The sequence below is a fragment of the Homo sapiens genome, chromosome 4 (genome assembly GCF_000001405.40).
Source record: "Homo sapiens chromosome 4, GRCh38.p14 Primary Assembly".
Lineage (NCBI taxonomy): Eukaryota > Metazoa > Chordata > Mammalia > Primates > Hominidae > Homo > Homo sapiens.
In genome coordinates, this window is record NC_000004.12 from 15,807,533 (window position 1) to 15,824,158 (window position 16,626).

A 16,626-nucleotide genomic window follows, 5' to 3' on the forward strand; every position below is an offset into this window, starting at 1 on the left:
CCAGCTCCTGAGTGTCAGGGGGGGCTGCACTGCTTTGTCATTATCAACATCTCCACATACAATACAGCCTGTGCATGTGAGGTCCCAGAAGGAAGGAGCTAAAGCAGCTAGACTGGGATCACTTTACTCAATTTGAGGAGAGGAGTGCTCTTGAGGGAACCAGAGGAAGGCAGATGAGCTGGTCTGATCTCCTTTTCTATTGGAGCTCTATGCAGATAGACTGAAAATATTTGCTAAAACAAAGAGCTCCATCTCTAGAATACCCTTAGCAGGATGTCCTTGATTAAAGGATTATTTCTGAAAACTAAATCCAGAATCCGTGAGGCATGATTCCCTGGAAGATCATGTAAGCTGTACAATTCTCTATGGAATAAATTGGAGACTTCATCCCTTAGATCCCTTTGACTGTGTGAGGAACCCCACGAAACCTCACTTAGTGACTTTATTCATTCTTCTGGGCCTGAAAGCATATGTCTCATGCAGGAAGGAAGGCAGGACCAGTGGGGCTTTGCAGGTTGTGCCATTCTCTCCTTGCTTTGCTTGAGACTCTTTATTACCTGTCTCCCTGACATTATTTGTAGTGTGATTCTGGGTGTGTTCTGTGATTCTTGTGACTAGGTATCCAATTTTGCTTAAGGATGCAAGGAAGTGTTTGGGGAGAAAGCTCTATTGGAAGAGGTCTGTAGTCCTAGCCTCCCTCCCCACCCCACATTTCACATCATTAGACCTCAGCACATGGGTCTGGGGCACCAACACTGTCTTACCTGTTACACAGTGTGGTCTTTATCTGGATGAGGGATGCGAAAGGATACATTGTGACCAAGAGACCTGGGAGAGGCACAAAAATAACAGGTGACCACCAAGGGTGCTTGGACCTGAGATGTTTCCATTTCCTAAGACCCTCCAAGATTCTCCAACATTTGGTATAGTTGCCCAGGCAATTTAACAAGAAAATCAAATTTTTGTTATGACCCCCATTGTAATTTATGCTTATCGCAGAAAAATTGAGACTATAAGAAGGAGAATAGAAGGTCACAAAACCACTCTATACTAGTCCAGGGATAGCTATTCTTACAACATGGATTGATCAGTGTGGGGTGATTTCTCCTAGTGTTTTTTGGACAGAGAAGCATTGAAGATGCCCTGGTTTTAAGGTCTTAGGATGAAGGAATTATAGTTGAACAGTTCAAAATGATGTTATGAATTACTTTCAGATTTGTTTGCTTGATTGCATTAGCCTTGCCTGGCCCTACGGTAACTATTTGGTTCCATCATGGTGGCTGAGTAGGTGGCTCTGGAAAAAGAGCTATTCAAGAAAAGCTTTTCTTTCTCTAAAAATATTGTAGGGGGCTCGCCCTCTGTTCTTGGAAGCAACGTTTGGGATGGCCTCTTGGGAGGCTGTCTGGTGAAGTGTCTAGGGGTATGTGGTCTGGACTTGGACAGGACAAGATGCAAATTCTGGCTGGGATATTCTAGTTGTGGAGTGTTGGGCAAGTTACTTGGTCTTCTGAGTTTATAGGTAAACTGGAGATAATAGGTATGTGTGAATGAGGATCCAATGAGATGCCTGTAAAACACTTAGCCAGATGGCTGCGTGAAGAAAGCACTTGGTAAATGCTAATTGTTGTGGTTGTTATAATTAGTACAATGATTAGTCATTGCTGATTGTTGGCTAACTGGCGGTAAGAAATGAAAGTAAAGTAAGGCAGTAGCAGCTGAGGGAGGTGGTGGAGGGAATCAGGAGACACTTGGAGGTTCTGGTTCTGCCTGAGTTTAAGTGCTGGGGAAAACTAGTTGAATAACTGCTGGTCTAACATTTAACAGCTGTGTGACCTCGGGCTAGTCACATTTCCTTTATAAACTTCCTTTTTCTCATTTGCGAAATGAAGGGGTTTCGTTAGGTTACTTCTCATCACCCCTGGTTGACCATTAGAATCGTTTGGGAGACCTTTTTAGAAATTCTTGGTTCTGGGGTCTTCCATTTTCCCCATTCTCACTTGGTGGGTCTGAAAGCAGGCACTGCAGCTTTTCCAAAGCTCTTCAGGTGACCTTGAAGTGTGGCCAGGGCTGAGAACCTCTGACTTCCAACAGCACTTCTGGTTTAGGAAGGAGCAAATCACCGGCACAGAATGAGCTCTCAGGAACGGCTGCTGAGCTAGTAATTGCCGTGACACTGTCTCCCTGTCCCAACTGCAGGCACCCCTAGACGTCTCCTGATGAAGACTTCCAATTTTGGAACAGAAGAATCTTTGAAAAAAATATTATTGAACTTCCAGAAATGATTCATTCCTTCTCTGCTCCTTCTTTAGTTGGAAAGATCTGCCCCCATCCCTGTCTACTGCAGTCCCAATCCCTTTTTATTTCAACATATATATCCAAACCAACAAAAAAATTGACTCGCACAACCAAGGTGAGGTGTTTGGCTTTAAGGATAAAATAAATAGTTTCATAAAACCTGCCCCCAGATTTCTCATTGCCTCTACTCATTTTCTCTAATTTGTAGGGCACACTGAAAGCTCGGATTCATAAGATGTAGAAAGGGCAGAGAGTTAAGTTACAAACTCTTCCTAGGTCTGTTTCAACTCTAACGTTCTATAGCTCTGCTCCGTCTAAACAAGGAATTCTGTTAAATTTGTAACCTGGACTTTCTTGAATACTGAGGTAATGTTTCTTGAAGTAGGATATATATACCCAAGAAGAATAAAAATAATTCTGGAGGTGTCTTAATTCTCTGTGGGACTCAATAAAAGTTTTGGTGATTATATATAAACACACTTATGAAAGCATCTGGTACATGTAGGTGCTCAGTGCACATGAATTTCTCTTTCCTGCCAGATCTTTTGTAGTGGAAAATTATCTTATTCTTCCATCTTTGTCTGCAAAGATGCTGCTAAGGAAAGATGTAGAAGAGTTTTACAAGGGAGTTGGAGTATGGGAACAGGAAGTTCCCAAGAAGGCCACTGCATTAATAGAATTGAAACAAGATCCCCTAAAGGAAAATCGCTGCCAAATCTCTTTTCTCTAAACTATCCAAAATGGTGCCCCATAAATTTTCATTGACATTGAAGTACATAATGTAATAAGCTTTTTTTTCCTTAAATATATAATGTACGGAGAAAACCAGGTTGATAATGGTTTCCTGGCATAGCTTTCAAAGGCAAGTGTGGATGAAGTGGAAATATGGTGCACAGATATTGGAAAGAAACCGCTGTTGAACTCTTCACATTTTCATGTATAACCCAATGATTCTCAAACCTAAACTTGCATCAGAATTGCCTGGAGGGCTTATTAAAACATGATTGTTGGATGCCACCCTTGCATTAATTAATTACACCTGCAACTGTTCTATTTTTAAATGGTCACATTTTAAGGTACTGGGCTGAGGACTTCATTATGTGAGTTTCAAATGGGACATAATTCAACCCCTAGCCCAATCCTAGTGAGTGGTGAGTGGTATCTCTTCGTTTTGATTTCTACTTCCCTAGTGACTAATGATGTTGAGCATTTTTATGTGTGTTTATTAGCCATTTTTATATCTCTTATGAAAAAATGTGTATAAAATTATTGGCCCATTTGTTAATTGGGTTATCCATTTATTATTGAATTATAAGAGCTCTTTACTACTCTGGATGCAAGTCCTGAAACAGAAATAATATTTACAAATATTTTAATCCATTCTGTGAATTTTATTTTCACTTTCTTGATGGCGTCCTTTGAAGAACGTAGGATTTTAATTTTGATAAAGTGTAATTTATGTATTTTTTCTTTTGTTGCTGTGCTTTTGGTATCATATTTAAGAAATAATTGCCTAATCCAAGGTTATGACAATTTTTTATTCTATGTTTGCCTCTAAGAATTTTCTAATTTTACCTTTTATATTTAGGTCTTTCATTCATTTTGAGTCAATTTTTGTATATGGTGTAAAGTATGGGTCCTAATTTATTCTTTTGCATGTGGATATCTTGTTGTCCCTGCACCATTTGTTGAAAAGTGTTGTTTTTTTTTTCCCATTGAATGGCCTTGGCACTCTTGTCTAAAATTAATTGATGGTAACTGTAAGACTTTATTTCTGGACTCTTTATTCCATTGATCTATATTTCTATCATTGTTACTGAGCAATGTGCTTGCTGCCTGACAGATAGGGAAGCCAATATTATGGAACTGGTTTTTGAGAAAAGCAAAAGCTTTATCGTGAGGTTGACTTGCAAGGAAACAGGATGCAAAGCTCAAATCTGTCTCCCCTTCTGGGATCTGGGACAAGTTTTATGGGTTAGGGAGGGCAAGCTGGTATGCAGAAGCACTGGTAGGGCAGGTTTCAACTGGAAGTACTTTAAACAAGACCATTTATGGTAAGGTATGGTAAGGGTCTTAACACTGGACATGCCTGGGCTCAGGTTTCTTGCTTTTAAAAATGTTTGGGCCCTCAGGTTCCAGTCATGTCTTGACCATTTTCTTCTGTGGTGGGGCAGGAGAGGAATTTTTCTTCTGGGTGTTATTCAAGGTTGAGGTCTTCTTTTCTGCATTGCTTCGGCTGCATGACTTAACAACTTTTTGACTTTGTGCCTGTTAAATAACTTGACATACTATTATCATCAGAGTAGGGCCAGTTAGAACTGGTCCTGTGATTACATCATTATGCCAGTACCAATTATCTTGATTACTGTAGCATTGTAGTAAGTTTTGAAATCAGGAAGTTTGTGTCTTTCAACTTTGGTCTTCTTTTTCAGGATTTTTGGCTCTTCTGTGTTCCTTACATTTCCATATGAATTTTAAGTTAAACTGTCACTATCTGCAAAAGAAGGAACTGGGATTTTTATAGAGATTACATTGAAGCTGTAAATCAGCTTGGAGAATACTGTCATCTTAACAATATTAAGTCTTCTGGCCGGGCACGGTGGCTCACGCCTGTAATCCCAGCACTTTGGGAGGCCGAGGCGGGTGGATCACGAGCTCAGAAGTTCGAGACCAGCCTGGCCAACCTGGTAAAACCCCGTCTCTACTAAAAATAATAATAATAAAAAACTGGGCATGGTGGCATGTGCCTGTAATCCCAGCTACTCAGGAGGCTGAGGCAGGAGAATCATTTGAACCCTGGAGGCAGAGGTTGCAGTGAGCCGAGATCGCACCATTGCACTCTAGCCTGGGCAACAGGGCGAGATTCTGTCTCAAAAAAACAAAAACAAAAACAATATTAAGTCTCCTGATCCATGAATGTAGAATGTTTTTCCATTTGTTCAGGTCTTCTTTACTTTGTAACAGTGTTGTGTATTTTTCAATGTTCCAGTCCTGTAATTCTTTGTTATATTTACTCCTAAGAATATTAATTGTTTTGCTGCTATTATAAGTGGAATTGTTTAAATTTTGATTTTATATTTTTCATTGATAGTATATTTTTCATTGATAGTATACAATTGATTTTTGTACACTGATTTTGTAACCTGAAACCTTGCTGACCATGTTTACTCGTTCTAACAGTTTCCTTTTTGTGGATTTCTTATAATTTTCTATATACAGTATTTCATGTCATCCATGAAGGGGATAGGTTTACTTCTTCTTATCTAATCTGGATGAGTTTAGTTTATTTTTCTTACCTAAATTCCTTGGCTAGAACTCCAATACAATGTTGAATATAAGTAATGAAATCAGACATCTTTGGACTGTACTTGATTTTAAGGGGGAGCATCCAGTCTTTTGCCATTATGTATAATGTTAGCTGTGGGGTTTAATAGATGAATTTTATCAGGTTGAGGAAATTTTATTTCTAATCTGCTCAGTGTTTTTTTCATCACAAGAGTGTTGGATTTTGTTAATATTTTTGTGTGTCTATTGAGATGATCATATGGTTTTTGTCATTCTACAAAATACAGCACATTAAATTGATGGATTTTTACATGTTAATTTTTTTTTAAATTTTACTTTAAGTTCTGGGACACATGTGCAGAACGTGCAGGTTTGTTACATAGGTATACATGTGCCATGGTGGTTTGCTGCACCTATCAACCTATCATCTAGGTTTTAAGCCCTACATGCATTAGGTATTTGTCCTAATACTCTCCCTCCCCTTGCTCCCCACCCCCGCCGACAGGCCCCGGTGTGTGTTGTTCCCCTCCCTGTGTCCATGTGTTCTCACTGTTCAACTCTCACTTATGAGTGAGAAGACGTGGTGTCTGGTTTTCTGTTCCTGTGTTTTTTAGCTGAGAATGATGGCTTCCAGCTTCATCCATGTCCCTGCAAAGGACATAAACTCATTCTTTTTTATGACTGCATAGTATTCCATGGTGTATATGTGCCACATTTTCTTTATTCAGTCCATCATTTATGGGCATTTGGGTTGGCTCTAAGTCTTTGCTATTGTAAATAGTGCTCCAATAAACATATGTGTGGATGTGTCTTTATAGTACAATGATTTATACTCCTTTGGGTATATACCCAGTAATGGGATTGCTGGGTCAAATGATATTTCTGGATCTAGATCCTTGAGGAATCGCCACACTATCTTCCACAGTGGTTGAACTAATTCACACTCCCACCAACAGTGTAAAAGCATTCCTATTTCTCCACAGCCTCACCAGCATCTGTTGTTTCCTGACTTTTTAATGATCGTCATTCTAACTGGCGTGAGATGGTATCCATTGCGATTTTGATTTGCATTTCTCTAATGACCAGTGATGATAAGCTTTTTTTCATATGTTTGCTGGGCACATAAATGTCTTCTTTTGAGAAGCATCTGTTAATACCCTTCGCCCACTTTTTGATGGGGTTGTTTTTTTCTTGTAAATTTGTTTAAGTTGTAGACTTAGGATATTAGATCTTTGTCAGGTGGATAGATTGCAAAAAATTTCTCCCATTCTGTAGGTTGCCTGTTCACTCTGATGGTAGTTTCTTTTGGTGTGCAGTATCTCTTTAGTTTAATTAGATCCCATTTGTCAATTTTGGCTTTTGTTGCCATTGCTTTTGGTGTTTTAGTCATGAAGTCTTTGCCCATGCCTATGTCCTGAATGGTATTGCCTAGATTTTCGTCTAGGGTTTTTATGGTTTTAGGTTTTACATTTAAGTGTTTAATCCATCTTGAGTTAATTTTTGTATAAGGTGTAAAGAAGGGGTCCAGTTTTTGTTTTCTGTATATGGCTAGCCAGTTTTCCCAGCACTATTAATTAAATAGGTAATCCTTTCTCCATTGCTTGCTTTTGTCAGGTTTGTTGAAGATCAGGTGGTTGTAGACATGTGGTATTATTTCTGAGGTCTCTGTTCTGTTTTTGTTTTTTGTTTTTTGTTTTTTGTTTTTTTTTTTTGAGATGAGATCTCGCTCTGTTACCCAGGCTGGAGTGCAGTGGCACGATCTCGGCTCACTGCAACCTCCGCCTCCCTGGTTCAAGCAATTCTCCTACCTCAGCCTCCTGAGTAGCTGGGATTACAGGCATGTATCACCGCGCCTGGCTAATTTTTGTATTTTTAGTAGAGATGGGGTTTCACCATGTTGGTCAGGCTTGTCTCGAACTTATCACCTCATGATCTGCCTGCCTCAGCCTCCCAAAGTGCTGGGATTACAGGCGTGAGCCACCGTGCCCGGCCAAGGTCTCCGTTCTCTTTCATTGGTCTATATATCTGTTTTGGTACTAGTACTGTAGTTACTGTAGCCTTGTAGTACACTTTGTAGTCAGGTAACGTGATGCCTCCAACTTCGTTCTTTTTGCTTAGGATTGTCTTGGCTATACGGGCTCTTTTTTGGTTCCATATGAAATTTAAAGTAGTTTTTTTCTAATTCTATGAAGAAAGTCAATGGTATCTTGATGGGAATAGCATTGAATCTATCAATTACTTTGGGCAATATGGCCATTTTCACAATATTTATTCTTCCTATCTATGAGCATGGAATTTTTTCTATTTGTTTGTGTCCTTTATTTCCTTGAGCAGTGGTTTGTAGTTCTCCTTGAAGAGGTCCTTATGTCTCTTGTAAGTTGTATTCCTAGGTATTTTATTCTCTTTGTAGCAATTTTGAATGGGAGTTCACTCGTGATTTGGCTCTCTGCTTGTCTATTATTGGTATATAGGAATGCTTGTGATTTTTGCACACTGATTTTATATCCTGAGACTTTGCTGAAGTTGCTTATCAGCTTAAGGAGGTTTTGGGCTGAGACGTTGGGGTTTTCTAAATATACAATCATGTCATCTGCACACAGAGACAATTTGACTTTCTCTCTTCCTATATGAGTACACTTTATTTATTTCTTATGTCTGATTGCCCTGGCCAGAACTTCCAATACTATGTTGAACAGGAGTGGTGAGAGAGGACATCCTTGTCTCGTGCCACTTTTCGATAGGAATGCTTCCAGCTTTTGCCCATTTAGTATGATATGGGCTATGGGTTTTTCAGAAATAGCTCTTATTATTTTGAGATATGTTCCATCGATACCTAGTTTATTGAGAGTTTTTAGCATGAAGGGATGTTGAATTTTATTGAAGGACTTTTCTGCATCTATTGAGATAATCATGTGATTTTTTTCATTGGTTCTGATTATGTGATGGATTATGTTTATTGATTTGTGTATGTTGAACCAGCCTTGCATCCCAGAGATGAAGCCAACTTGATCGTGGTGGATAAGCTTTTTGATGTGCTGCTGGATTCAGTTTGCCAGTATTTTAGTGAGGATTTTTGCATCGATGTTCATCAGGGATATTGGACTGAAATTTTCTTTTTTTATTGTGTCTCTGCCAGGTTTCGGTATTAGGATGATATTGGCCTCATAAAATGACTTATGGAGGAGTCCCTCTTTTTCTATTGTTTGCAATAGTGTCAGAAGGAATGGTACCAGCTCCTCTTTGTACCCCTGGTAGACTGCATGTTAGACGAGATAATATGTATGAACTACCTGGCATATAATAGATGCTTCCTAAATAAGATTCTAAAAAATAATTATGCTCCAAAAATATTTTTAAAATCAAATAATTTATGTTTTATTTTCTGTGTTTTATCTCAGACATGTAGACTGCCAAAGTGTATGGGATGCTTTCAAGGGTGCATTTATTTCAAAACATCCTTGCAACATTACTGAAGAAGACTATCAGCCACTAATGAAGTTGGGAACTCAGACCGTACCTTGCAACAAGGTAATTGGGGGCATGCCATTGATTTTAAAACTGGGGATAAAAGCCAATGGTAACAATTCATAGGTCCAAATTTTTATTAGAATGAAGGAAGAGGAAAAATCCAGACATTATAGTGTGAGTGTGGTTGGTAGGAATGGAATTTGCAGGCCATTGAGGGGCCATGATATAATTAAGATTTAGGACATCTGGAGAAGGGAGCTAAGAGAGAGAAATAGGGATACAGAGATAGGAAAGGGGCTTTGGCCAAAAACTAGGCAGAAAAAACCTAACACCAAACCCAACTCGAACAAACAAATTAACACGACCTATATAATAACAAAACTTTCCCCTGACCTATGATAATAATAGTAGTAGTAGTAGTAATAACAGCAATGCCAAGTTACACTTGCAGACTGCTTCTTCTTTTTCTTGCTTACAAAAGACTCTCCTAATCCTTACTTTCTTAGGCCTTCATAGCCATTCTCTGGAATGGGCACATCAGGTGTCAGCATCCCAATTTCACCAGTGAGAAAACTGAGGGTTGGTGTGTTTAGGTGACCAGTGTTGCCCAAGTTTGACAGGCTTCAAAGTGACCAGTTTAAATGTAAATGGTATGAGACCTGGAGCCACAGAGGCCTGGATTCTAATACATTGGTTATATTGGAAAAGCTCTATCAGAGTGCACCTTTTCTATAGCCAATGTTTAAGGCAAAATTCCATGTGCCTAAAATTTTCTTTGTGAAGCCCTTAAATCCATCCAGAAATTACAGCCTCTCATTCCATTGTTAGTGAGCTGGAGTCATTGTGAAACTTCTCCATTCACTAGGCGTGATGCCCTATGCAGAGAAGGTGTTTGGCAAATAATAACCCAGGCTGACATTTGTCAAATAAGTGACTATGCGATGGATAGTATGCTAAGCAATTTACTTGCATTTATCTCAGTTAATTTCCCTAGCACCCCATTAGTTTATTTCAGTCATTATCATTACCATTTTACAGGTGTAGAAAGTGGGGCTTAGTGATGTTTTGGTTGCTCAAGGTGAAACACCTGATAAGTGATGATGATGCTGGGCTTCAATAAGGGCTGGGATTTTAGGGCCCATACTTTAAACCAGTATCCTTCACTGACTCCCATTAAGAATGAATAGGGGGAGGAGCCAAGATGGCTGAATAGGAACAGCTCCAGTCTGCAGCTCCCAGTGAGACCAACGCAGAAGGTGGGTGATTTCTGCATTTCCATCTGAGATCAGGTTTCCTCGTGTGTCTACACCACCAGGGCCCTGGGTTTCAGGCACAAAACCGAGCCGCTGTTTGGGCAGACACCAAGCTAGGTGCAGGAGTTTTTTTCGTACCCCAGTGGCGCCTGAAACCCCAGTGAGACAGAACTGTTCACTCCCCTGGAAAGGGGGCTGAAGCCAGGGAGCCAAGTGGTCTCGCTCAGCGGGTCTCACTCCCACGGAGACCAGCAAGCTAAGAACCACTGGCTTGAAATTCTTGCTGCCAGCACAGCAGTCTGAAGTTGACCTGGGATGATGGAGCTGGGTGGGGGGAGGGGCGTCCGCCATTACTGAGGCTTTAATAGGCGGTTTTCCCCTGACAGTGCTAAGGGGGCTGGGAAGTCTGGACTGAGTGTGGCAACGTGGTTGTGGCCAGACTGCTTCTCTAGATTCCTCCTCACTGGGCAGGGCATCTCTGAAGGAAAGGTAACAACCCCAGTCAGGGGCTTACAGACAAAACCTCCGTCTCCCTGGGACAGAGCACCTGGCAGAAGGGGCAGCTGTGGGCACAGCTTCAGTGGATTTAATCATTCCTGCCTGCTGGCTCTGAAGACAGCAGCTGATCCTGACAAGAGGGATTCTCCCAGCACAGCACACCAACTCTGCTAAAGGACGGATTGCCTCCTCAAGTGAGTCCCTGACCCCTGTGTCTCCTGACTGAGAGAGACCACCCAACAGGGGTCGATAGACACCTCATACAGGAGAGCTCCGGCTGGCATCAGGCCGGTGCCCCTCTGGAATGAAGCTTCCAGAGGAAGGAGCAGGCTGTCATCTTTGCTGTTCTGTAGCCTCCACTCGTGATACCTTCAGGTGCGGGAGGAACCCAGGTGAATAGGGTCTGGAGTGGACCCCCTGCACACTGCAGCAGCCCTATGGAAGAAAGGGCCTGACTGCTAAAAGAAAAAACAGAAAGCAACAACATCAATGAAAAAGACCCCACAAAAACCCATCCAAAGGTCAGTAGCCTCAAAGATCAAAGGTAGATAAATGCAAGAAGATGAGAAAGAATCAGCACAAAAATGCTGAAAACTCAAAAAGCCAGTGTGCCTCTTCTCCTCCAGATGATCTTAACACATCTCCAACAAGGGCATAGAACTGGGCTGAGGCCCCTAAAAAGAGATGAGTTCATGTCCTTTGCAGGCATATGGATGAAGCTGGAAACCATCATTCTCAGCAAACTATCACAAGATCAGAAAACCAAACACCACATGTTCTCACTCATAAGTGGGAGTTGAACAGTGAGAACACATGGACACAGGGAGGGGAACATCACACACCAGGGCCTGTCAGGGGTGGGTGCTAGGGGAGGATAACATTAGGAGAAATACCTAACGTAGGTGACGGGTTGATGGGTGCAGCAAACCACCATGGCATGTGTATACCTATGTAACAAAACTGCACATTCTGCACATGTAACCCAGAACTTAAAGTATAAAAAAACAAAAGATACTAGCTACATTTACCCAATGTTAAAAAAAAAAAAAGAACTGGGCTGAGGCTGAGGTGGATGAATTGACAGAAGTAGGCTTCAGAAGATGCATAATAATGAAATTCACTGAGCTGAAGGAGTATATTCTAACCCACTGCAAAGAAGCTAAGAACCATGATAAAACATAGGAGCTGTTAACCAGAATAACTGGTTTAGAGAGGAACATAAATGACCTGATGGAGCTGAAAAACACAACACGAGAACTTCAAGATGTAAACACAAGTATCAATAACCAAATAGACCAAACAGAAGAAAGGATATCAGAGCTTGAAGAGTATCTTGCTGAAATAAGACAGGCAGACAAGATTAGAGAAAAAAGAATGAAAAGGAACAAACAAAACCTCTGAGAACTATGGGATTACATAAAAAGAACCTATGACTGATTGGGGTACCTGAAAGAGACAGGAAGAATGAAACCACGTTGGAAAACACACTTCAGGATATCATCCAGGAGAACTTCTTCAACCTAGCAAGATGGGCCAACATTCAAATTCAGGAAATCCAGAGAACCCCAGTAAGATACTCCATGAGAAGATCAACCCCAAGACACATAATCATCAGATTCTCCAGGTCACCTATAAAGGGAAGCCAATTAGACTAACAGCAGACCTCTCAGCAGAAACCTACAAGCCAGAAGAGATTGGGGGCCAATATTCAACATTCTTAAAGAAAATAATTTCCAACCTTGAATTTCATATCTAGCCAAACTAAGTTCATAAATGAAGGAGAAATAAAATCTTTTTCAGACAAGCAAATGCTAAGGGAATTCGTCACCACCAGGCCTGCCTTGCAAGAGCTCCTGAAGGAAGCACTAAATATGGAAAGGAAAAACCATTATCAGCCACTACAGAAACACACCGAAGTACACAGACCAATGACACTATGAAGCAACTACGTAAACAAATCTTCACAATAACCAGCTAGCATCATGATAACTGGATCAAATTCACACATAACAAATTAACCTTAAGTGTAAATGGGCTAAATGTCCCAACTAAAAGACATGGAATGGCAAGCTGGATAGTCAAGATCAATTGGTGTGCTGTATACAAGAGACCCATCTCACATGCAAAGACACACATAGGCTCAAAATAAGGGATGGAGGAATATTTACCAAGCAAATGGGAAACAGAAAAGAGCAGGGGTTGCAATCCTAGTTTATGACAAAACAGACTTTAAACCAACAAAGATCAAAAAAGAAAAAGAAGGGTATTACATAAGGATAAAGGGGTAAATTCAACAAGAAGAGCAAACTATCTTAAATATATATGTGCCCAATACAGGAACACCGAGATTCATAAAACAAGTTCTTAGAGACCTTCAAAGAGATTTAGATACCCACACAATAATAGTGGGAGAATTTAACATCCCACTGTCAATATTAGACAGATCATCAAGACAGAAAATTAGCAAAGATATTCACGACCTGAACTCAGCTCAGGATCAAGTGGACCTGATGGATATCTACTGAAGTCTCCATGCCAAAGCAACAGAATATACATTATTATTGGTGCCACATGGCATCTACTCTAAAATTGATCACACAATTGGAAGTAAATTACTCCTCAGCAAATGCAGAAGAACTAAAATCATAACAAACAATCTCACAGACCACAGCACAATCAAATTAGAACTCAAGATTAAGAAACTCACTGAAAACCATGCAATTACATGGAAATTGAACAACCTGCTCCTGAATGACTCCTGGGTAAATAATAAAATTAAGCCAGAAATTAAGAAGTTCTTTGAAACTAATAGGAAAAAAGAGACAATGTATCAGAATCTCTGGGATGCAACTAAAGCAGTGTTAAGAGGGAAATTTATAGCACTAAATGCCCACATCAAAAAGCTAGGAAGATATCAAATTGACATCCTAACATCACAACTAAAAGAACTAGAGAACCAAGAGAAAACAAATCCCAAAGCTAGCAGAAGACAAGAAATAACCAAGCTCAGAGCAGAACTGAAGGAGATAGAGACACAAAAATCCCTTCCAAAAAAAAATGAATGCAGGAGGTGGTTTTTTGAAAAAAAATTAATAGAATAGATGGATCGCTAGCTAGACTAATAAAGAAAATAGAGAAGAATCAGATAGATACAATAAAATGATAAAGGGGATATCACCACAGAAATACAAACAACCATCAGAGAATACTATAAATACCTCTATGCAAATAAACTAGAACATCTAGAAGAAATGAATAAATTTCTGGATACATACACCCTCCCAAGACTGAACCAGGAAGAAGTTGAGTTCCTGAACAGACCAATAACAAGTTCTATAATTGAGGCAGTAATAAATACCAACCAAAAAAAAAAAAAAAAAAGCCCAGGATCAGACAGATTTATAACTGAATTTTACCAGATTTACAAAGAGGAGCTGATACCCTTTCTTCTGAAACTGTTCCAAAAAATTGAAAAGTAAGGACTCCTCCCTAACTCATTTTATGAGACTAGCACCATCCTGATAATAAAAACTGGCAGAGATTTAAAAAAAAAAAGAAAGAAAGAAAACTTCAGGCCAATATCCTGAAGAACATCGATACAAAAATTCTCAACAAAATACTGGCAAACTGAATCCAGCAGCACATCAAAAAGCTTATCCACCATGATCAAGTTGGCTTCATCCTCAGGATGCAAGGCAGGTTCAACGTACATGAATCAATAAATGTAATTCATTACATAAAGAGAACTAAAGACAAAAACCACATGATTATCTCAATAGATGCGGAAAAGGCCTTCGATAAAATTCACCATCCCTTCACGTTAAAAACTCTCAATAAGCTAGGTATCAAAGGAACATACCTCAAAATAATAAGAACCATTTATGACAAACCCACAAGCAATATCATACTGAGTGGGCAAAAGCTGGAAGCATTCCCCTTGAAAACCGGCACAAGACAAGGATGTCCTCTCTCACCACTCCTATTCAACATAGTATTGGATGTTCTGACCGGGACAATCAGGCAAGAGAAAGAAATAAAGTCTTTTCAAATGGAAAAAAGGAAATAAAATTGTCTTTGTTTGCAGATGACATGATCCTATAACTAGAAAACCGGATCATCTCAGCCCCAAAGCTTCTTAAGCTGATAAGCAACTTCAGCAAAGTCTCAGGATACAAAATCAATGTGCAAAAATCACAAGCATTCCTGTACACCAACAACACGCAAGCAGAGAGCCAAATCATGAATGAACTCCCATTCACAAAGGGAATAAAATACCTAGGAATACAGCAAACAAGGGAAGTGAAGGACCTCTTCATGGATACCTATAATCCACTGCTCAAGGAAATCAGAAAGGACACAAACAAATAGAAAAACATTCCTTCCTCATGGATAGGAAGAATCAATATCGTGAAAATGGCCATACTGCCCAAGGTAATTTATAGATTCAGTGCTATTCCCATTAAACTACTATTGACATTCTTCATAGAATTAGAAGAAACTATTTTAAAATTCATATGGAACCAAAAAAGCTCATATAGCCAAGATGATCCTAAGCAAAAAGAACAAAGCTGGAGGCATCGTGCTACCCAACTCCAAACTGCACTACAAGGCTACAGATGCCAAAATAGCATGGTACTTGTACAAAAATAAACACATAGACCAATAGAACAGAGTAGAGATCTCAGAAATAAAACTACACATCTGCAGCCATCTAATCTTTGGCAAACCTGACAAAAACAAGCAATGGGGAAAGGAATCCACATTTAATAACTGGTGCTTGAGAACTACCTAGCCATATGCAGACAATTGAAACTGGACCCCTTCCTTGCAACTCATACAAAAATTAAGATGAATTAGAGACTTAAATGTATAACCCAAAACTATAAAAACCTTAGAAGAAAATCTAGGCAATATCATTTGGGACACAGGCACAGGCAAAGATTTCATGAAATTGCCAAATGCAATTGTAACAAAAGCAAAAATTGACAAATGGGATCTAATTAAACTAAAGTGCTTCTGCACAGCAGAAGAAACTATCATCAGAGTGAACAGAAAACCTGCAGAATGGGAGAAGATTTTTGCAATCTATCCCTCTGACAAAGGTCTAATATCCAGAATTTACAAAGAACTTAAACAAATTTACAAGAAAAAAATAAACAGCCCCATCAAAAAGTGGGCAAAGAACATGAACAGACACTTCTCAAAAGAAGACATCCATGTGGCCAACAAACATATGAAAAAAAGCTCAACATCACTGGTCATTAGAGAAATGCAAATCAAAACCACAATCTCATGCCAGTCAGAATGGCATTATTAAAAAGTCAAGAAACAGCAGATGCTGGTGAGATTGTGGAGAGATAGAAATGCTTTTACACTGTTGGTGGGAATGTAAATTAGTTCAACCATTGTGGAAGATAGTGTGGCAATTCCTCAAAGATCTAGAACTAGAAATACCGTTTGACCCAGCAATCCCATTACTGGGTATAATAGAAATCATTCTATTATAAAGATATGTGCATGCATATGTTCATTGCAGTGCCATTCACAATAGCAAAGACATGGAATCAACTCAAATGCCCATCAGTGATAGGCTGGATAAAGAAAATGTGGTACGTATACACCATGAAATATTATGCAGCCATAAAAAGGAACAAGATCATGTCCTTTGTAGGGACATAGATGGAGCCAGAAGCCACATCTTCAGCAAACTAACACAGGAACATGCAAATGCTGCATGTTCTCACTTATAAGTGGGAGCTGAACAGTGAGAACACATGGACACCAGGAGGGGAAAAACACACACTGTAGCTTGTTGGGGTTGGGGTGA

The 16,626-nt window shown here is 39.7% G+C and overlaps 1 protein-coding gene across 2 annotated transcripts in view, besides 1 other annotated feature; it reads left to right on the forward strand.

The window, feature by feature from the left end:
• CD38 (CD38 molecule) overlaps positions 1-16,626 on the forward strand; it is a 74,905-nt gene that overhangs the window by 29,205 nt on the left and 29,074 nt on the right. For both annotated transcript variants that reach the window (NR_132660.2, NM_001775.4), the window contains exon 2: positions 8,979-9,108. Coding sequence is in view for 1 of the 2 variants with exons in the window: in NM_001775.4 (NP_001766.2) it covers positions 8,979-9,108 (130 nt within the window). In the remaining variant the exon portion in view is untranslated. The remainder of the gene's footprint in view (positions 1-8,978; positions 9,109-16,626) is intronic.
• Positions 4,780-5,499: an enhancer, noted in NCBI's record as "H3K27ac hESC enhancer chr4:15813935-15814654 (GRCh37/hg19 assembly coordinates)". NCBI's record gives its function as "activates a minimal SCP1, AML or CMV promoter by ChIP-STARR-seq in naive H9 embryonic stem cells {active_cell/tissue: H9 hESC(naive)}" and the evidence as "EXISTENCE:reporter gene assay evidence [ECO:0000049][PMID:30033119]".